This window comes from Homo sapiens, chromosome 5 (assembly GCF_000001405.40).
Source record: "Homo sapiens chromosome 5, GRCh38.p14 Primary Assembly".
Lineage (NCBI taxonomy): Eukaryota > Metazoa > Chordata > Mammalia > Primates > Hominidae > Homo > Homo sapiens.
Genome location: NC_000005.10, coordinates 108783512 through 108807223, shown reverse-complemented (window position 1 = coordinate 108807223; position 23712 = coordinate 108783512). Strand labels below are relative to the sequence as shown.

The following is a 23712-nucleotide window of genomic DNA, read 5'->3' as shown; positions in this document are numbered from 1 at the left end:
CAAACATAGTGGAGGGCAAGGAGAAGCAAATCACATCTTACATGGATGGCGGCAAGCAAAAAGAGAGCTAGTGCAGGAAAATTCCCGTTTTTAAAGCCATCAGATCTCATGAGACTCATTCACTAACATGAGAACAGCACAGGAAAGATCTGCCTCCATAATTCAGTCACCTCCCACGGGGTTCCTCCCACAACACATGGGAATTGTGGGAGTTAAAATTCAATATGAGATTTTGGGTGGGACACAGCTAAACCATATCATTCCACCCTGGACCCCTCCCAAATCTCATGTCCTCACATTTCAAAACCAATCACGCCTTCCCAACAGTCCCCCAAAGTCTTATTTCAGCATTAACTCAAAAGTCCACAATCCAATGTCTCATCTGAGACAAGGCAAGTCCCTTCCGCCTATGAACTTGTAAAATCAAAAGCAACTTAGTTACTTCCTAGATACAATGGGAGTACAGGTATTAGGTAAATACAGCCATTCCAAAAGGGAGACGCTGGCCAAAACAAAGGGACTACAGACCCCATGCAAGTCTGAAATCCAGTGGGGCAGTCAAATCTCAAAGCTCCAAAATGATCTCCTTTGACTCCATGTCTTGCATCCAGGTCACGCAGATGCAAGAGGCGGGTTCCCATAGTCTTGGGCAGCTCTGCCCCTGTGGCTTTGCAGGGTACAGCCTCCCTTCCAGCTGCTTTCACAGACTGTTGGTGAGTGTCTGCAGCTTTTCCAGGCACACAGTGCAGGCTGTCGGTATAGCTACCATTCTGGGGTCTGGAGGACGGTAGCCCTCTTCTCACAGCTCCACTAGGTGGTGCCCCAGTAGGGACTCTGTGTGGGGGCTCCAACCCCACATTTCCCTTCCACATTGCCCTAGCAGAGGTTCTCCAGGAGAGCCCCACCCCTGTGGCAAACTTCTGCTGGGACATCCAGGCATTTCCACACATCCTCAGAAATCTAGGAGGAGGTTCCCAAACCTCAATCCTTGACTTCTGTGCACTGGCAGGCTCAACACCACGTGGAAGCTGCCAAGGCTTGGAGCTTGCACCCTCTGAAGCCATGGCCCAAGCTATACCTTGGCCCCTTTTAGTCACGGCTGGAGCGGCTAGGATGCAGGGCACCAAGTCCTTAGACTGCACGTAACACAGGGACCCTGGGCTTGGCCCACAATACCATGTTTTCCTCCTAGGCCTCCAGGCCTATGATGGAGGGGCTGTCATGAAGACCTCTGACATGCCCTGGAGACATTTTTGCCATTGTCTTGGTGATTAACATTCAATTCCTTGTTACTTATGCAAATTTCTTGAATTTCTCTCAGAAAATGGGATTTTCTTTTCTATCACATTTTCAGGCTGCAAATTTTCCAAACTTTTATGCTCTGCTTCCTTTATGAAACTGAATGCCTTTAACAGCACCCAAGTCACCTCTTGAGTGCTTTGCTGCTTAGAAATTTCTTCTGGCACATACCCTAAATCATCTCTCTCAAGTTCAAATTTCGATAAATCTCTAGGGCAGGGGCAAAATTCCACCAGTCTCTTTGCTGCAACAAAACAAGAGTCACCTGTGCTCCGGTTCACAACAAGTTCCTCATCTCTATCTGAGACTACCTCAGCCTGGACCTTTTCGTTCATATCACTAACAGTATTTCTGTCAAAGCCATTCAACAAGTCTCTAGGAAGTTCCAAACTTTCCCACATTTTCCTGTCTTCTTCTGAACCTTCCAAACTGTTCCAACCTCTGCCTGTTACCCAGTTCCAAAGTCATTACCACATTTTCAGGTAGCTTTTTAGCAACGCCCCACTCTACTGGTACCAATTTACTGTATTAATCTGTTTTCATGCTGCTGATACCTGAGACTGGCCAATTTACAAAAGAAAGAGATTTAACTGAACTTACAGTTCCACATGGCTGGGGAGGCCTCACAAACATGGTGGAAGGCAAGGAGGAGCAAATCACGTCTTATGTGGATGACGGCAGGCAAAAGAGAGCTTGTGCAGGAAAGTTCCCATTTTTAAAACCATCGGATCTCATGAGACTCATTCACTATCACGAGAACAGCCCAGGAAAGACCCACTCCCATAATTCAGTCACCTCCCACAACATGTGGGAATTGTGGGAGTTACAATTCAAGATGAGATTTGGGTGGGGACACAGCCGAACCATATCAAGGAAGAAACTGAAACCCTGAAAAGACCAATATCCAGCTCCAAATTGAATCAGTAATAAAAAACCTATCCAATTAAAAAAAAAAAGCAGACTAAATGGATTCACAGCCAAATTCTACTAGATGTACAAAGAGGTAGTACCAATTCTACAGAAACTATTCCAAAAAATCAAGTAGGAGGGAATTCTACCTAATTCATTCTAAAAAGCCAGCATCACACTGATACCAAAACTTGGCAAAGACACAACAAAAGCAGAAAACTGCAGGTCAATATCCATGATGAACATAAACACAAAAATCCTCAATGAAATACTATTAATAGCAAACTGAATCAAGCAACACATCAAAAAATTAATTCATCATGATCCAATAGGCTTCATTCCTGTGATGCAAGGTTGGATCAACATATACAAATCAATAACTGTAATTTGTCACACGAACACAATCAGAAACAAAACCATATAATAATCTCAATTGATGATTGAGATTGAAGCGTTTGATAAAATCCATCATCGCTTCATGATAAAAATCCTCAATAAACTAGGCATGGAAGGAATATAATTCAAAACAGTAAGAGCCATCTATGACAAACACACAGCCCACATCATACTGAACGGCAAATGCTTGAGCTATTCCCCTTGAGAACTGGAACAAGACAAGGATGCACACTCTCACCACTCCAATACAGTATAGTACTAGAAGTCCTAGCCAGAACAATCAGGCAAGAGAAAAAAATAAAAGGCACCCAAATAGGAAAAGAAGTCAAACTATCTCTCTTAATGGATGACATGCATCTATACCTACAAAGCCCTAAATACTTCACCAAAAGGCTCCTGAAACTGATAAACGACTTCAGTAAACAATCAGGATACAAAATAAATTAGAAAAATCAGCACCAATTCTATATACTAATAACATTCAAGCTGATAGCCAAATCAAGAATGCAATGCCATTTACAAGAGAAACAAAAAAATAAAATAAAACACCTAGGGATACATTTAACCAAGAAAATAAAAGATCCCTATAAGAAGCACTACAAGACACTGCTGAAAGAAATCACAGATGACACAAACAAATGGAAAAACATTCTGTGCGGACGGTCTGAAAGAATCAATATCATTAAATGCCCATACAGCCCAAAGCAATCTACAGATTCAACACTATTCCTATCAAACTACTGTCATTTCTCACAGAACTGGGAAAAAACTATAATAAAATTCATATGCAACCAAAAAGTCGCCCAAATAGCCAAAGCAGTCCTAAGTAAAGAGAACAAAGCCAGTGGCTTGATGTTACGCAAGTTCAAACTATACTATAAAGCTACAATAACCAAAACAGCATGGTAGTGGTACAAAAAAAGACACATAGACCAATGGAACAGATTAGAAAACACAGAAATTAAAAAAAAAAAATGCAAACCTACAGCCATCTGATCTTTCATCAAAAATAAGCAACAGGGAAAGAACTCCCTATTTAATAAATGCTGCTGGGATAGCTGGCTAGCTTTATATGCAGAAGAATGAAACTTGTCCCCTACCTTTCACCATGTACAAAAATTAATTCAGAATGGATTAAAGATTTAAATGTAAGACCTCAAACTATAAGAATCCTAGAAGAAAACCTGGGAAACACCATTCTGGGTATCAGCTGTGGGAAGAAATTTATGACTAAATTCTCAAAAGCAATTGCAACAAAAATGAAAATTGACAAGTGGGACTTAATCAAACTAAAGAGCTTCTATACAACAAAAGTAACTACCAACAGAGTAAACAGACAACCTACAGAATGGGAGAAAATAATCATAAACCATGCATCCAACAAAGGACTAATGTTCTACACAGAACTTAAACAAATCATCAAGAAAAAAAAACATTAAAAAGTGGGCATAGGACATTAATAGATACTTCTCAAAGGAAGACATACAAGTGGCCAACAAACACATGATAAAATGCTCAACGTCATTAATTATCAGATAAATGCAAATCAAGACCACAATGAGATACCATCTCACACCAGTAAGAATGGCTATAATTAAAACGTCAAAAAAACAACACATGCTCGTGAGGTTGTGGAGAGACGGGAACACTTAATACACTGTTGGTGGAAATGTAAATTAGTTCAGCCACTAGAGAAAGCACTCTAGAGATTTCTCAAAGAAATTAAAACAGAACTACCATTAGACCTAGCAGTCCCATTAGTGGGTATACAGCCAAAAGAAAATAAATAGTTCTACCAAACAGACACCTGTTTCTGTTTTGTAGAAACAGAAAACAGAAAATTCGTAAGTTTTAAGGTGATACCGCTCTGAGTGAAGAAAATGCAGCACATATGCACCACAGAATACTATATGGTCATAAAAAAGAAAGAAATCATGCCCTTTGCAGCAACATGTATGCAGCTGGAGGCCATTATCCTAAGCAAATTAACACAGGAACAAAAAAAAACAAATACTCCATGTTCTCACTTATAAGTGGCAGCTAAACATTGGGTACACAAGGATATAAAGATGGAAACAATGGGCACTACAGAATATTAGAGGGGAGAGGGAAGGACGGGGGGAAAGGCTGAAAAACTATTGGGTATTATGCTTACGACTTTGGTAATGGGGTCATTCATACCATAAACCTCAGCATCACACAATATATCCAGGTAACAAACCTGCATGTGTACCCCCGGAATCTAAAATAAAAGTTGAATTATTTTTTAACAATTTAAAATGTATATCATTTTTATTTATTGAAAGACCCAATACTGTTAAGATATAGATTTTCCCCAAATTTATCTATACATTCAATGTAATTCCAAGCAAAATCCCAGTAGCCTTTTAAAAAAAATGATTGGTAAGGTGCTCCTAAAATTTGTAAGGAGATGCACAACATTTAGAAAAGACAAAATAATTTTGAAAAAAAAAATAAGTTCAGTAGTACCCCTTAATCTGTTGTTTTGCTTCCTGCAGTTTTGATTGCACGTAATCCAAAAATGGAAAATTCCAGAAATAAACAATTCGTAAGTTTTAAGGTGACACCGCTCTGAGTAGTATGATGAAATACCTAGCCTCCCCACTCTGTCCTGCCCAGGATATGAATCATCCCTTTGTCTAGTGTATCCATGCTGTATATGCTACTTGAATATTACTCACTTAGTAGCCATCTCAGTTATCCTTGCTATAGCAGTGCTTGTGTTTAAGGAACCTTTATTTAACTTAATAATAGCCCCAAACTGCAAGGATAGTGATGCCGGTAATTTGGATATGCCAAAAAGAAGACAGAAAGTGTCTCCTTTGGGTGAAGGGATGAAAGTTCTCAACTTAAGGAAAGAAAAAAAACATATGCTGAGTTTGCTAAGAGCTACAGTAAGAATGAATCTTCTATCCATGCAACTGTGAAAAAGAAGAAAAAGGAAATTTGCACCTTTGAATTTTTGATGTTGCACTTCAAACTGCAAAAGTTATATGCATAGTACGTGATAAGTGCTTAGTTAAGATGGAAAAGGAATTAAATGTGTGGGTGGAAGGCATGAAAAGAAACATATTCTGATGGACAACAATGGACGTTCAGTACTATCCACAGCTTCAGGCATCTACTGGGGATATTAGAACATATCTCCCATGAATAAGGGATGACTACTGTACACTACCTGACTTTGATATTATTATCAAGGAACAAATAATTAAATGTGTTACTGATGTCATGATAGACAAAAATATGAATGGAACAGAATAAAGAGTATAAAAATAGACTCGCATTATGGTTAACTGATTTTAAACAAAGATGCAAAGGCAATTCAATGGAGAAAGCTTAGTGTTTTCAACAAATGAAGTTAGAACAAATGGGTATCCAGAAGCAAAAAAAGATAAAAATATGAACTTCAATCCATAGCTTGCCACATGTACAAAAATTAAATAAAAATAAATCATAGACCTACAAACAAAACTTAAAACTATAAAAATTTCCAGATGATAACACAGGCAAAACTCTTTAACTTTGCATCAGGCAAAGATTTTTTTTTGTGAGACAGAGTCTTGCTCTGTCGCCCAGGCTGGAGTGCAATGGCATGACCTCGGCTCACTGCAAGCTCCGCCTCCCGGGTTCACGCCATTCTCCTGTCTCAGCCTCCCAAGTAGCTGGGACTACAGGCACTCGCCACCACGCCCGGCTAATTTTTTTGTATTTTTGGTAGAGACGAGGTTTCACCGTGTTAGCCAGGATGGTCTCGATCTCCTGACCTTGTGATCCGCCCATCTCGGCCTCCCAAAGTGCTGGGATTACAGGCGTGAGCCACCACGCCCGGCCCAGGCAAAGATTTTTTAAGATATAATACGAAAAGCACAATCCTCTTTTTAAAAGGTAGACTTTACTTATAGGTAGAATAAATCATAGTTTTTCTGTGTTAAGAGGAAAGAATGGCTGGTCACAGTGGCTCATGCCTATAATCCCAGATCTTTGGGAGGCCAAGGTGGGAGGATTGCTTGAGCCCAGAAGGTCAAGGTCAGCCTGGGCAATATACTGAGACCCCGTTTCTATAAAATAAAAAATAAAATTAGCCAGTTATGGTGGCGCATGCCTATAGTCCCAGCTCCCTAGAAAGCTGAGGTGGAAGGATTGCTTGAGCCTGGGTGGTCAAGGCTGCAATGAGCCATGACTGTACCACTGCACTCCAGCCTGGATGCCAGAGCAAGATCCTAAAGAGAAAAAAAAAAGAGGAAAGGCTGACATACTCCTTGATTTTCTGTGAGTTCTCAACCATTGTTCAACTGTTAATTTAATGTATAAATTAGCAATAACAAAGAAAACAGAAACTATGTGACAATGGCAAATAAGATATGTCAACAGAATGTAAGAAAATGAAAAGCAGATAAGTGGTAACTAATTAGCATATGAGGAAAAGTTAAAACCTAAGTGTCCTGCAAAAGGGAGGTCAAGATTTATGAGGTCAGATGACTCCGTTAAAGCTCAGGAGACCGAGGCAGGTAGATCATTTGAGGTCAGGAGTTCAAGACCAGCCTAGCCAACATGATGAAACCCCATCTGCACTAAAAATACAAAAATTAGCCAGGTGTAGTGGTACACACCTGTAATCCCAGCTACTCATGAGGCGGAGACACAAGAATCACCTGAACCCGGGAGGCAGAGGTTTTAGTGAGCCAAGATTGCACCACCGTACTCCAGCCTGGGCGAGAAAGTGAGACTGCATCTCAAAAAAAAAAAAAAGAAAAGAAAAGAAAACAAGAGGGATAAATGAAGCAGAAAGCCTTTGGACTCAGAAACACCAGGTAGCTTACCAAAAACAAGAAGATTAAATAAAATGTGACTTTTAAAATACCAAAAATACTTTCCCTATCTATTCCCATTAACATAATAGAAGGCTTTATACCCACAGATGAAATTGCCAAATAAAATAAAGGATATCCAGTTAAATTTGAATTTCAGATAAATAACAAATCATTTTTAATGTATGTTTGTCCTAAATACTGCATGCAAATTCAAATGGTGTCCTGTATTTTTTGTGGCCATCTCTGGCAGCTCTACCTTCAGACTAGATACTGGCCCAGAAAGGAAGTTAAAGATATGAACATTACTGGGTTCTTAACAGAATCACAACTCCTTACTTGATCAAACACACTATATACACAGTCTCCACAGGTAACAGAGTTTTCCTCTAAAATTTACTCAAATCCTAAGACCCAAAAGTGAAAGAAGATTAATTTTTTTAACATTCTATAGTGAAATATGATATTTAAATAAGACACTGGAAGTAACAAAGCAAGAATCCAAGAACTATTAGAGTTTAATATTTCTTCTTCAATGTTTTCAAAGAACAATTAACAGTGTAATTCTGGCCCTTATTTTTATATGACAGAATAATCTTGGATTTAAAAAATACATTATTCATCTAATGGATGTTTTAAGAGTGACTAACTCAACAATATACTAATATTTTTGTACTGAAATGATAGCAAATAAGAGCTACATGCTAAAATATTCCATATGATTCACAACACTAATGGTTCACAGAAGAATTCAGGGAGTGGTTTATAACTAAAGTTTGTGCAAAAGGGAAAAATAGCAGGGTTCAAATGACCCAAAGCCAGAAGAGTTAATAAAAGAAACCAAAATTTGTAACAATGGTTCTCAAACCTGACCCATTAAGTCAGAGCATCAGAGAGGTACAGCTATAGAATACAGAATATCAGAGAGGCACAAAAAATTAGGGAATTTTTTGTTTTGTTTTTTGAGACAGGGTCTCACTCTGTCACCCACGGCTCACTGCAGCCTTGATCTAACAGGCTCAAGCAATCCTCCCACCTCAACCTCCCAAGTAGCTAGGACTACAGTCACATGCTACCACGCCCAGCTAATTTTCATATTTTTTGTAGAGACAGGGTTTCACCACTTTCCCCAGGCTGGTCTCAAACTCCTAGGCTAAAGTGATGTTGCTGCCTCAGCCTTCCAAAGTGCTAGGATTACAGGTGTGAGCCACCATGCCCGGCCACTCCAAAATTTATAATTTTTAAAAACTTCTCCATGAGATTTTCATACTCTGTAAAACTGTGGAATCACTGCTTTAGAATGCTGACTTAAGTATGCTCATTCAATAGTTTGAGCTATTGCATTTTAAGGACAATTATAATGTTATAAATAACAAAGAGTGAAATTATTCTTCTTACCTTGGATACGTTGCTGACATAATTCATTTGGACAGTACTTTCCTTATCAACTTGATTACAAAGGTTCTGTAAAGTAGATGCATATTCTTTATCACTTTTTATTCTCAGGGCCATAAATTTCTTTACTGTTTCCAGTAACCGTAATTCCCAGTCTTGCAATTTTAACACTGCTTCATGTGAATTCTTCAGGTCACTCCCAAACCCCATTTTGTAAGGCACTGGTTATCCTCCACACTGCACAAGTGAGCCTTCTAATCAGCACATATCTGTGTATGTAAACAAAAGAGAAAAACTCTTAAATAAAAAGGAAATTAGTCTTCAAAAAAAAAAAAGTTATGATAGATTCTTCTTTGGGGTTAAAAAAAAAAAACACAACTGAATACTTTCTTCCAAAGATCAGAAACAAGATGAAGAAGTCCACCCTATTGTTGGCTTCAACATTACTCCAGAGGTCTTAGCCATTACAGTGAAACAAACGAAATAAAAGGGGCATTCAGATCGGAAAGGAAGAAGTAAAACTATCTTAATTTGCAAATTACATCATCTTGTATGAAGAAAATCCTATGTAATGCAACAAAAACCATTAAAATAAATGACTAGAAGCCTCCACCAATTATGCCTCCCTGCCCCCTGCCAGCAGGAAAACCAAATTTAACAACTATTTACACACACAAAAATCAGGTGAGCAATCACAGTACCCAGTTTTAACTTCCTATCGCTGAAAGAGGTACTGAAAAGGGTAGAAAACACAGTCTCGAATCATCAAGACCAGTCCTCTCCCATCACCCAGCAGTGGCCACATGGTGCACAGAGTATGCTTGGAGGAGAAAGAGAGCACTGTGATTGTGGGACTTTGCAATAAACTCACTGCTGCCATGTCACAGCAGAAAGCAAAACCAGGATGAACTCAGCCAATGCCCACCCAGGAAGGGAGCATTTAGACCAGCCATAGCCAGAGGGGAATTGCCCATTCCAGCAGTCAGAACTTGAGTTTCAGCAACCTAGAGAGACATGAGAGAGGGAGGCTACAGGAGTGCTTGCAACACCCCTTCTGCACCCCGGCCAGCACAGCTTGCAGCAACAAAAGTGACTCCATCCTTCTGCTTGAGGAGAGGAGACAAACAGTAAAGAGAATGTTGTCCTGCCTCTTGGATACCAGCTCAGCCACAGAAGGATAGAGCACTGGGCAGTCATTAGGCGCCTATTATAGGCCCTACCTCCTGAATGACATTTCTAAACACAACCTGGGCCAAAAAAAACCCCGCTGCCTTGAAAGGGAGGACCCAGTCCCGGCAGGCTTCATCACCTGCTGACTTAAGAGCCTCTGGTCCCTGAATAACCAGCAGTGATACCCGGGTAGTACGCTGTGGGCTCTGGGTCAGATTCAGACATGCTAACCTCAGGTGAGACCCAGCACATTCCCAGTTGTGGTGGCTATGGTGAGAGACTCCTTCTGCTTGAGAAAAACAAAGAGAAAATTAAGGGGACTTTGTCTTACACCTTAGGTACCATCTCGAACACAGTGGGGTAGAGCACCAAGCACATTCTTACGGCCCCCAATTCCAGGCCTTGCCTCTTAGGTGGCACTTCTAGACCTGCTCTGGCCAGAGAGGAGCCCACTGCCCTGCAGGGTAAGTCCCAGGACTGCCAGCATTCACCACAATCTGACTGAAGGAAACTTGGGCCTCACGTCAACATCAGCAGTAGCCTGGCAGTACTTCCTGTGGGCCTACGGTGGTGGTGGCCAGGGAGAGAGGCTCTTCTACTTGAGGAAAGGAGAGGGAAGAGCGGGAAAGACTTTGTCTCATGGCTTGAGTGCCAGTTTAGCTGTAGAATAGGGCATCAGGTAGATTTCTAAGGTTTTGACTCTACTCCTTGGCTAACAGACAGCATTTCTGGACCCACTTGGAGCCTACAGAAACTCACCACCCTTGAGGAAAGGACACAAGCTTCGCTGGCTTCACCACATGCTGATTATAAAGCTCAGGTGCCTTGAGCAAACATAGGCAGGAGTCAGGTAGCAATTACAGTGGGCCTTGGGCATGACCCAGTGCTGCGCTGGCTTTAGGTCTGACCCAGTGCAATTCCAGTACTGGTAGCAACATGGGTGACTGTGTCACCCCATCCCCTGCTCCAGGTGACTCAAAAGAGAGAGAGACTCCATTTGTTTGGGAGAAAGTAACGAAAGGGAACAAGAGTTTCTGCTGGTAATGTAGAGAATCCTCCCAGATCTTATCCAAGACCACAAAGGCAGTGCCCCTACAAGTCCACTTAAATCATAGTGTTACTGGGCTTGAAGTGGCCCCTAATACAGATACAGCTTACATGACAGCACCCAAGTACCTTGTATTACCTGGAAAGCCTTCCCAAGGATGACAGGTACAAACAAAGCACAGAAGTGAAGACTACAATAAATATCTAATAAATACCTAACTCTCGAATGTACAGACTCTGTCGAACAGCCACAAGATTCAAGACCATCCAGGAAAACAGGATCTCCATACACAAACTAAATTAAGGCACCAGGAACCAATCCTGGCCTGAAAGATATGGGATCTTTAACACAGAGAATTCAAAATAGCTGTTTTAAAGTTAACTCAAAGAAATTCAAGATAACAGAGAGACCAAATTTAGAATTCTATCTAGATAAATTTAACAAGGAGATTGAAATAAATAAAAAGAATGAAGCACAAATTCTAGAGTTGAAAAATGCAACTGACGCACTGAAGAATGCATCAGTGTCTCTTAATATCAGAATCGATGAAGCAGAAGAAAGAATTAGTGAGCTTGAAGACAGACTATTTAAAAATAGTCAGAGGGAACAACAACAATTAAAAAAAAGAATAAAAGAGAATAAACCATGCCTACGAGAACTAGAAAATAGCCTCAAAAGGGGAAATTTTTTCTTTTTTTTCAGACAGGGTCTCCCTCTGTCTCCCAGGTTGGAGTACAGTGGCACAAAAAATAGTCAGAGGGAACATAAAAAAAAAAAAAAGAAAACAAAAAAAGAGAATAAACCATGCCTACAAGAACTAGAAAATAGTCTCAAAAGGGGAAAGTTTTTCTTTTTTTCCAGACAGGGTCTCCCTCTGGCTAGAGTACAGTGGCACAATCACAGTTTACTGCAGCCTCAACCTCCTGGGCTAAAGAGATCCTCCTGTCTCAGCCTCCTGAGTAGCTGGGACTACAAGTATGTGTCACCATGCCCAGCTAATTTTAAAATTTTTTTGTAAAGAAGGGGTCACACTTTGTTGCCCAGGCTGCTGTCAAACTCCTACGTGCAAGCAATCTTCCCATCTTGGCCTTCCAAAGTACTGGCCTTCCAAAGTACAGGCATGAGCCACCATGTCCAGCCAAAAAAGGGAATCTAAGAGTAATTAGAATTAAAAAGGAGGTACAGAAAGAGATAGGGGTAGAAAGTTTATTCAAAGTGATAATAACAGAGATCTTTCCAAACCTGTAGAAAGATGTAAATATTCATGTACAAGAAGGTTATTGAACAACAAGCAGATTTAATGTAAAGACTACCTCAAGGCATTTAATAATCAAACTCCCAAAGGTCAAGAATAAAGAAAAGATCCTAAAAGCAACAAGAGAAAAGAAACAAATAACATCCAATGGAGATCCCACATGTGTGGCAGCAGCCTTTTCAGTGGAAATCTTACATGGCAGGAGAGAGTGGCATGAAATATTTGAAGTGCTGAAGGAAAAAAAAAGTTTACCCTAGAATAGCATATCTGGTGAAAATATCCTTTAAGCATAAATGAGAAATAAAGATGTTCCCAAACAAACAAAAGCTGAAGGATTTCATCAGCACCACACTAGTCCTATAAGAAATGTTAAGGTGCGGGGAGGGGGGGGGGTGCGGAGGGGGCAAGCACAGTGACTCACATCTGTAATCCCAGCACTTTGGGAGGCCAAGGTGGGTGGATCACCTGAGGTCAGGAATTTGAGACCAGCCTGGCCAACATGGTGAAACCCTGTCTCTACTAAAAGTACAAAAAATTAGCTGGGCGTGGAGGCGGGCACATGTAATCCCAGCTACTAGGGAGGCCGCAGCAGGAGAATCACTTGAACCTGGGAGGCGGAGATTGCAGTGAGCCAAGATTGCATCACTGCACTCCAGCCTGGGCAACAAGAGTGAAACTCTGTCTCAAAAAAAAAAAAGAAAAAAAAAAGGAAATGCTAAGGGGGATTAATCAATCAGAAAGAAAAGGACATTAATGAGCAGTAACGAATCATCTGAAGGTACAAAACTCACTGGTAGAAGTAAGTACACCAAAAAAACAAAGAATATTATCACATTATAATAATAATGTGTAATTGTGGTGTGTAAACTACTCTGGTCTTCAGAAAAAAGACAAGATGAACCAATCAAAAATAATAACTACAACTTTTCAAGACATAGTACAATGAGTTATGAATAGAAACAATAAGTTAAAAAGCGGAGAGGGGTCAAAGTTAAAGTGTAGAGTTTTCATTAGTTTTCTTTTTGCTTGTTTGTTTATACAATCATGTTAACTTGTCATTAGTTTAAAATACTGGGTTATAAAACAGTATTTGCAAGCTTCATGGTAACCTCAAATCAAAAAAACATACAATGAATACAAAAAAAGTAAAATTAAGTCATACTAACAAAGAAAATTACCTTCCCTAAAAGAAAGACAGGAAGACAGGAAAGGAAAAAGACCATAAAACAACCAGAAAACAAATAGTAAGGATGTAGAAAAGAGAGAATCCTGAAACACTGCTGCTGGTGGGAATGTGTACAACCACTATGGAGAACAGTTTGGAGCTTCCTCAAAAAACTAAAAACTGAGCTACCATATAATCCAGCAATCCCGCTGCTGGGTATATAACCACCCCCCCCGCCCCGCCAAAAAAAAAATAGATATCAGTATACCAAAGAGATATCTGCACTCCTATGTTTTTTGCAGCATTGTTTACAATAGCCAATATTTGGAAGCAACCTAAGTGTCCATCAACAGATGAATGAATAAAGAGATGTGGTACATATACGCAATGGAGTACTATTCAGCCATTAAAAAGAGTGAGATCTTGTTATCTGCAACAACATGGATAGAACTGGTGGTCGTTATGTTAAGTGAAATAAGCCAGACACAGTCATTATATTAAGTGAAATAAGCCAGACACAGAAAGACAATCTTGAGCTCCTGGAGACAAAGAGTAGAAGGATGGTTACAACAGGTTATAAAGGGTAGTGGGAAGCAGGGGGAAAGTTGGGATGGTTAATGGGAACAAAAAATATATACAGAATAAGACCTAGTACCTGATAGCACAACAGGGTGACTATAGTCAATAATAATTTAATTGTACATTATCAAATAACTAAAGCTGTATAATTGAATTGTTTGTGACACAAAGGATAAATGCTTGAGGTGATGGATACCCCATTTACCCTGATGTGATTATTACACACTGCATGTCTGTATCAAAATATTTCATGTACCCTATAAATATATATACCTACTATGTATCCACAAAATTTAAAATATAAACAAAAAATAAGTAATAGTACAGGGTACAAGGTCAATATACAAAATAAATTATATTTATACAATATAGAAAAATAAATTATATTTCTAGATACCATCATTGAACAATCCAAAAATGAAATTAGAAAACAATTCTATTACAAAAGCACCAAAAAAGAATAAAATACTTAGGAATAAATTTTACAAAAAAAAAAAGCAAAACTTGTAAGCTTAAGACACTGTTGAAAGTAATTTTAGGGCCAGGTGCAGTGGCTCACACCTGTAATCCCAGCACTTTGGGAGGCTGAGGCAGGTGGATCACCTGAGGTCAGGAGTTTGGGACCAGCCTGATCAACCTGGAGAAACTCCGTCTCTACTAAAAATACAAAATTAGCCGTGCGTGGTGGCGCATGCCTGTAATCCCAGCTACTCGGAGGCTGAGGCAGGTGAATCACTTAACCAGGAAGTGGAGGTTGCAGTGAGTCAAAATCACGCCCACTGCACTCCAGCCTGGGCAACAAGAGCAAAACTCCGTCTCAAAAAAGAAAGTAATTTTAAAAGAACTAAGTAAATTGAAATATTCATGTTCACAGATCAAAAGATTTAATATTGTTAAGAAAGATTCTCCAATTTGATCTACAAATTTAACACAATCCATATTAATATCTCGGCTAGCTTTTTTATAGAACTTGACAAGCTATCCTAAAATCTATACAGAAAAGTAAGGGAGCCAAAATAACATGAAATAACTTGAAAAGAGGCACGAAGTTGGAAGATTCACACTTTCTGATTTCAAAACCTACTAAAAAGCTACAGTGATCAACACACTATGGTAATGGCATCTGGATAAACATAGAAATCAATGGAATAGACTAGAGGGGCCAAATGCAAATCTTTACATTTATGGTAAAGTGATTTTCTACATGGGTGCCAAGTCCATTCCATTGGAAAAGAAAAGTCTTTTCAACAACTGGTTCTGGGACAACTGGATTTCCACATGCAAAACAATGAAGCAGGATGCCTTCCTTGGACCGCACACAAAACATTAACTGTGAATGGATGACATACCTAAGTATCAGAGCTAAAACTATAAAATTCTCAGAATAAAACATACAAGTAATCTTTGTAACCTTGGCTTAGGCAATGGTTTCTTAGATACAACAACAAAAGCACAAATGACAAAATAAAAACACATTAGTTGGATTTCATCAAAATTTAAAACTTCCATGCTTCAAAGGACACCATCAAGAAAGTGAAAAGACAACCTACAGAATGGGAGAAAATATTTACAAATCATATATATATGTATATATATATATCATATATATGTATATACACATATGTGTGTGTATATATATATGATAAGGAACTTCTGGATGGAGGACATAAAGAATTTTTACAACTCAATAATAAGAAAAACGAACAAAAAAATGGACAAAGGATTTGAATGGACAGTTCTCTAAGAAAAATGTACAAATGTCCAATAGGCTCATGAAAAGATGCTCAATATATCAGGAAAATTCAAATCAGAACTATAATGAGATAACTATTTCACACCATTAGAATGTCTCTAATCAAAAAAGACAGACATGTAGTTTAGCACTGAAGAGAATGGAATCTTCATCCCTTGCTAGCTGAAACATTAAATGGTGCAACCACTGCGGAAAAGAGTTTGGCAGTTCCTGGAAACGTAAAACATAGAGTTAGCATATGATCCAGAAATTCACCTCCCAGGTATATACCCGACCAAAATGAAAACATATGTCTATACAAAAACTTGCATATGAATGTTTGAAGCAACATTATTCACAATAGCTGCAAAGTAGAACCAACCCAAATATCCATCAACAGGTGAACAGATAAATAAAATGGGACAACATCCATACAATGGAATATAATTTGGCAATGAAAAGGAAGTATTGATACAGGCTACAACATGGATGAACCTTGAAAATGTTTTACTAGGTCAAAGAAACCAGACACAAAAGATCACAGGGTATGATTTCATTAATAAGAAATGCTCAAAATGGGCAAATCTATAAACTAGATTACTAGTTGATCAGGGCTGGCAAATGTGGGGTGAAATTAGGAATGACTGTTAGTGGGTGCTGGATTTCCTTTTGTGGTGATGAAAATGTTCTAACATTGATTGTAGTAGTGCCTGCATAACTGTGAATGTACTAAAAACAAATTGTACAATTTCAACGGCTGAATTCTTTGGTTATAAATAATAGTTCAAAAAAGCTGTTTAAAAAAATTACTACAGCATAACTTATAATTATCTAAAGATCAGTTAGCATAAGCTTCCCCAAAATACCCTGTTTATTATAAATCCTGAAAATGATGGTAGAATTTATTTGGTACCCCAGTTTCCTAGAATTTCAGGCAGTAAAATCTTTCAGAGCCAGTTAGAAGAAATGAAGAAAAACACCTTTTATCTTTCATTCTAGTTCATCCATACCAGAGGTGAATTTCTTGTTAATTCAGCTGATATCCTCTAAGCTACACAGAAAAGCAAGAGCTTTAGCTCTCTAACTTCAATAATCTTATTTGAAGACATGGTAAAAATTAGAGTTTTCCAAATAGAGAAAAAAAATCACATATGTATATGTATGTAAGAGTGTGTGTGTGTGTGTGTGTGTGTGTGTGTGTGTGTGTGGTGTGTATGCATATATGTATACATACAGTTTTTTAAGATGGGATCTCCCTATGTTGTCCAGGCTGGAGTGCAGTGGCTATTCACAGGCACAATAATAGCACATTGCCACCTCAAACTCTTGGCCTCAAGCAATGCTCCCACCTCGGCCTTCCAAGTAGCTGAAACTACAGGCACAAGCCATTGCACCCAACGAATATTTTACATTTTTTAAAAAAAACTGTATCTGATATTGTGGTTCATTTTATTCTGTAACTTGGAAAAATATCACTTCTGTTTCTAAATGCATTGTAATAACAATGTTTACCTTTCTCTCATCAAAAATTCCTGCTGGTGGGCCAGGTGTGGTGGCTCACACCTGTAATCCCAGCATTTTGGGAGGCTGAGGCAGGTGGATCACTTGAGGTCAGGAGTTCGAGACCAGCCTGTCCAACATGGCAAAACCCCATCTCTACTAAAAATACAAAAATTGGCTGGGTATGGTGGCGTGCACCTGTAGTCCTAGCTACTTGGGAGTCTGAGACACAAGAATCACTTGAACCTGGGAAGCGGAGGTTGCAGTGAGCCAAGACTGCACTCCAGCCAGGGCAACAGAATGAGACACTGTCTTTTAAAAAAAAAAAAGAAGAAGAAGAAAAAGAAAATTCCTGTTGGTAGATATTTCAGATATCTCCTGGGTTTTTGTTGTTGTTATTGCAAATATTACTGCAAGTTAATTAAAGCTGGAATAACCCAGAAAATTTCTTAGAAATGGCAAGATATGAATTAGGACTGAAATAATGATCATGATTTAGAATATAGAAAGTCAAATGGGAAATGTATTTCAGGAAATAGAGATGTATAAGGCAAAAAAAAAAAAGTGAGTATGAGATACAGTTAAAATAGCAAACATCTCCAAAATTAAACTCTATGTGACAAGTAGTGGGAGATGGCATGCCAATTTATCTTCTGCTAGTCCTCTGCTCAAGAAACCAATAAAGCCCAAACTCCTTAAATTAATTTTTGTTAACACAAGGTTACAATTTTTGAAAACCAAGATCATGAATACAATAGTTTAAAAAGATTAATTTGTTGGTACTAGCTGCACAAGTATGGTCAGTTTGTGAAAATTCATCAAGCTGAACACTTATGATTTGTACACTTTTCTGTGTGTATGTTATCGTTCAATAAACAGAAGGACAAAGAGACACAAAGATAGATTTTGATTTGGGAGCTAATAAGACATAAGAAGCCATTATACCAACATAGCTTGAGAAATGAAGATCTAGAATTGACAATGTCAATGCGAATTAAAATGAAAGATTCTTGACCTAGTGAATGGATTTAGTGAACAAAAGAGAGACAATTCAATAAAATTTTTAAGGCTTTAGAAATCAATAATCATGACAGTATCAATAGAAATGAAAGAACAAGAATATGGAACTACTTTGAGTAAACTATAATCGTTTCAGCTGCAAGTTTTACCTTTAGGTAAAATATTAAGGTTAAAAATCCAAATTCAAGAGTCAATTACTTAAAGGTGACAGATGAAACCAACAGACTGAATGTTGACAGAAAAGCAGAGAGTCAAGGATAAAACCCATGAGAACCTGGCAGTCCAAGACTGAAAGGAGGAGAAACCAACCAAAGGATAGAAATTAAGTAAGCAAAAAGATAACAGGGGTCTGGCAGAGTCACAGGCATCAGGAGGGAAAAAAAAAAAAAGATATTAGTGTCGCAGGATCATTAGGGTGTTGCTTTGCCAGCCAGAAACCTCTGTAGCCAGTGGTGCCTCTGCTTGGGTTTCACTTGTGCCCGCTGAACTCATTCCATCCACTCAGCCTGGCAGGCTGCACTCAGCTCACACTACTGGCCTGGATCCCACACATGCCAAGGGTGAGCCAGGAGTGGAGCAGCAAGGGGTGTGTGAGTGAGCAAGCGCGGGATCTGTCCACTGTGTACAGCCAGGCACACCAGCTGCTGCAGGACAGGCAGCTCCAGGCAGGCACCAGCACAGGCGCTGGCTCTGTGCAAGGCTGCAGTTGGACCAGACATACAACACGTAGCTTCAGTAGCATCTGGACAGGGGGAAAACGATGGCACCAGAAAGCTCAGAGATACCAGGAACCACAGAGTCCCAAAAAGGGTGTTACAGCATGTCACAGTCCTGGCTCAGGTAGCCCCAAGCTCTGGAATCCCAGAAGGGCCACAGATCTTCTCTCTTTCTCGTTGCACGCAGCGTAGTGACTGGAGGGCATGTTTCTACTGTGCTCGTGTTACAGCTCTTTTTAGTCCCACCATTCAGTAGGTCCCAAGCACTTGTCCCACATCCAGAAAGAATGAGGTATGCAGACAACTGGAGGATGAGCAAGGCAGAGAGGAGCTTCACTGAGCGACAGAATGGCTCTCAGGAGACTCAAAGTGGGTAGGTCCTTTCTGCAGGCAGGTTGTCCCAATGTGTGCCCAACTCAGAAGGGAGGAGACCTGTAGTGGGCAGCTCCTTTCCACAGGCAGGTTGTCCCAACAAGCATCCAGCTCTCAGCGGAGGAGACCCATAGTGGGTAGCTCCTTTCTGCAAGCAGGTCATCTGGATTAATGTGTGTCTGGCTGAGCCTGGGATTTTTATGTGCTCAGAATCAGGGAACTGCATACTGATTCATCCATGGGCAGCCATGGTGGGCCTAGAAAAAGCCCCATCAAATTTGCCAAACAGTCATCAATGAAGTTCTCACTCTGGGCCACGGACTTCACCTAGAACTGGCAGCCCAGCCCCCAGGCTTCAGGCCATCGCTGGCCTGAGGTAAAGTTTCACCAGGGACCCACCCCTTTCTGCCTAGGAACCTGTCTGCCTTTAACATGCCATCCACGGCACCCAAACTGACTGTCCCAAGAGGCGCCTGCAGGCTGGTGCCAAGCTGCCCTCAGCCCCTGCGGCCCCCCTCCTACGCTTGTCGATACCCAAAGTCCAGAGGGGACGATGGTGGCAAGGGGCTGGCATATCAGCACCACTCTGAGCATGCACATACCTGGCCGGGTTGCAACAGTGCCTGGACTTGGCCACAGCTTTGCTCCACCCTGGAGCAGGCGCCAGAAGCAGGGAGAGGCCAGGGGGTGAGAGCAGGCACTTTCAAGCCTACAGGGGCAGGGGGCTTCCTGGGCCCCAAGCTGCAGCTGGGCAGCTGCAGCTGCACCCAGGAGCACAAAGCTCCCGCCTGTTCCCAGCCCCTGCTGGCTCTGCAGAGTGCACAGCCCCGATGGGTGCAGCCCTGGCCACACCTCCCCAGCCACAGCTGGCGTCTCCACAGCAGCTGCTCCAGATAGGCTGCCACCACCATCATTAGCAATGTCAAAAGTTAGAGGAAGATGTAAAAACTGCAAAAATCTCATCATCAAGCAGTACTTCAAAAGCTCCTACTGACAATAGTGAAAAAAAATAGGGTTTAAGAAAAAACAAAAATTTGGCCGGGCACGGTGGCTCATGCCTGTAATCCCAGCACTTTGGGAGGCTGAGGTGGGCGGATCACGAGGTTAGGAGATCGAGACCATTCTGGCTAACACAGTGAAACCCTGTCTCCACTAAACATACAAAAAATTAGCTGGGCGTGCTAGCAGGCTCCTGTAGCCCCAGCTGCTTGGTAGGCTGAGACAGGAGAATGACTTGAACCCGGGAGGCAGAGCTTGCAGTGAGCCCCCCTCGCATCACTGCACTCCAGCCTGTGTGATGGAGCAAGACTCCGTCTCAAAAAAAGAAAAAACACAAAACAAAAATTTAAACATATCACCAACAAATAAAGGAGTACAACCTTATTCCGTAAGTTTCACAGCATGGTTTCAGTGAGTCCAATACTACCCCAACCAGGCCAGAAGATATTCTGGCAAAGAAAAGTTAACAAAATCCTGAGACTTCACACTGGATACTCCAATATGAAAAGAAGCAGGCAGAGAGTGAATAGACCAAACTAGGGAAAGTCAAGAAAATATCTAAAGAGAAAGTCCCTCTGTACCAGCATAGGGCTTTAGAAAACATAGGGAGGACAGCACTGGCTTACAATTTTCCAGAACTCTATGATGAACTGGTGAATGAAATTTAAGTCCAGGCATAGAGGATGTTTAATGAACTCTTTTAAAAGTGAGTAAATCTCAGGGCCTCCAACAAAGCCAAACTCAGGGTGTTGCTGAGTATCTCTCCACTTGTTTACCTGCACACTCACATGCCACAGAAACTGAAATTAGAAGGAAAACCCAGCTTGTGGTCCAGACAAGATGGCACAGACCATTTTTTCCAGTTAATCCCCACTAAGCACAAATATAAACAAATACTGCAAGAGACAAACGAAGAACTCTGGAAGGTGGAAAGAAGAAGGCAAACTCCTTTGTAACCCTACAACAAGAAGAACAGCACAGAGGCAGGATGACTTACGCCTACCTCACCCAAGTGAAGAAGGCCACACAGACCTGGTTTTTCCCAGCCACAGCCTAGGGGCAGAAGGCAGCCCATGCAGGCTAATTCCTCCCAGAATAGAATAGATGTCCCTCTGACAAATATCAAGGAAGCCAGACACCACCAGCAAGAGAGATTAACTAGGAACCTCAACAAAAACAAACAGCCAGGGGAAACACTCTCCTTCACCATAAGGCCTGAGACTCCCCACTTTTTTTTTTCCAGTTTGTTCGTTTCTTAATTTCTAAAGCTCTGCCATAAACTTCTAGCAGGTGCCCATGTCACCTGCCACACTCACACCAGGTTGTCTGTGTAGCCAGCAAACAAATGACCACCAACAGACCAGGCCAGGGAGGTACACTGGGGTGGTTCTGCCTTGCTGCCAGTACTAATAACTTCTTGCTTCAGTTCATCTACGATGATATTTACCCCTAAGTCCCAGATCTTGATGCTGGGGCCCATGGCAGCACAGAGCCAGTAGCAGTTGGGGCTGAAGCACAGGGTGTTGATAATGCCCCCACCATCTGGCATATAAAGGTGTTTGCCTTCGTTGAGATCCCACAGCATGGCCTGGCCATCCTTGCCTCCAGATGCACAGAGGGATCCATTTGGAGACATAGTCACAGTGTTCAGATAACCTGTGTGGCCAATGTGGTTGGTCTTCAGCTTGCAGTTAGCCAGATTCCATACCTTGACCAGCTTGTCCCAGCTACAGGAGACAGTGATAGGGTTGCTGCTGTTAGGCAAGAAGCGAACACAAGACACCCACTCTGTGACTCTCATACTAGACAGTGTATCTGCATACACCCAGGTGTTGGGAACAGGCCCCCAAATCTGGCCATAAACTGGCCCCAAAACTGGCCATAAAATCTCTGCAGCACTGTGATATGTTCATGATGGCCATGACTCCCATGCTATAAGGCTGTCAGTTTACCGGAATGAGGGCAAGAAACACCTGGCCCACCCAGGGCGAGAAAACCACTTAAGGCATTCCTAAACCACAAACTATAGCAGGAGCGATCTGTGCCTGAGGGACATGTTCCTGCTGCAGATAATTAGCCAGAGCCCATCCCTTTGTTTCAGCCCATCCCTTTGTTTCCCGTAAGGAATACTTTTAGTAAATCTATAATCTACAGAAACAATGCTTATCACTGGCTTGCTGTCAATAAATATGTGGGTAAATCTCTGTTTGGGGCTCTCAGCTCTGAAGCCTGTGAGACCCCTGATTTCCCACTCCACATGTTATATTTCTGTGTGTGCGTCTTTAATTCCTCTAGCGCCGCTGAGTTAGGGTCTCCACGAACAAGCTGGTCTTGGCACCCAGGGTTTTCTATAACTTGAGGTTTTATCTCATGATCCACAGACAATCTGCTGGTTGTCAGGGGAGGCCACATTCAGCACGTCCTTGGTATGGCCCACAAATTGTCTCACGGTGATGCCCATTGTGAAATCCTAGAGGCATGGGGTTCCATCCAAGGAGCTTGAGAGGGTAATGTGACCATCTGAGGAGGTGACCAAGTCACTAAAAAAGTGGGAGTGACCCCACAGAGCATGTTGTGGGATGCCATAGTTGGAATCTTCCCTGCTCAATTTCTACGTAATGATGCTCTTGTCTTGAGAGGTGGACAGGATCTTGTCCAGGAACTGTGGAGTAGCAGTGGTCTGGTTTACCCAGCCGTTGGGGCCCTGAGGGTGCCACAAAGGGTCATCTGCTCAGTCATGATGATGGCAAATCGAGATTCCCCTTTTCCATCAAGAGAAACAAAGACAGGCATGAAACCAGAGGGCCTAGTCAGGAACCAGTCAAGAACCTCAGCCTTCACAGGTCTGAGGATCTCCTTCTCTACCCACAGACATCAGAACAGGCAGTCAGAACTGGCAAGCCAAACCCAGTTTTGCTAGATATCCAATCTCAGGAAGCCTCTTGTTCTCCACATGTCCAAGACTCTCCTCCCCTGTCCAGAGACATCAGGGTAGCAGGGAGCATGGTAAGGAAATCCCAGCCCATCCCTTCCCCAGCAATAGATATACACTAACTCAGCCTAAGAATGAATCCCTACTCCCTCAGGCAGCATCAGCAGAGACCAGTGGGAGCCCTAGTGCCACTAGATACAAGAAGCCAACCAAAACAACAGTGCAGACTCAAAATTAAACTATCATTGGAAGCACAACCCACAAAAATATAGGCTAAGACCTGCATGATAAACCTAAACAGGATGATTGCTTGTGAAAATAAAAGGTTGAACTAGCCCTCAGAATCTCCTAACATATTAGACAAAATATTTAAGTTTCAAATGGAAATCACCT

The 23712-nt window shown here is 41.2% G+C and overlaps 1 protein-coding gene and 1 pseudogene across 22 annotated transcripts in view; both read right to left on the bottom strand.

Annotated features, from left to right (window-relative positions):
• FER (FER tyrosine kinase) overlaps positions 1–23712 on the bottom strand; it is a 448945-nt gene that overhangs the window by 389618 nt on the left and 35615 nt on the right. For 21 of the 22 annotated variants that reach the window (NR_146155.2, XR_007058589.1, XR_007058591.1 and 18 more), the window contains one exon: positions 8835–9100. Coding sequence is in view for 16 of the 22 variants with exons in the window: in NM_005246.4 (NP_005237.2) it covers positions 8835–9041 (207 nt within the window). In the remaining 6 variants the exon portion in view is untranslated. Of the gene's footprint in view, positions 1–8834; positions 9101–23712 lie in introns of those variants that run through there. The other variant, XM_017009233.3, reaches the window with a different exon arrangement.
• RACK1P1 (RACK1 pseudogene 1) lies at positions 21627–23219 on the bottom strand (annotated as a pseudogene).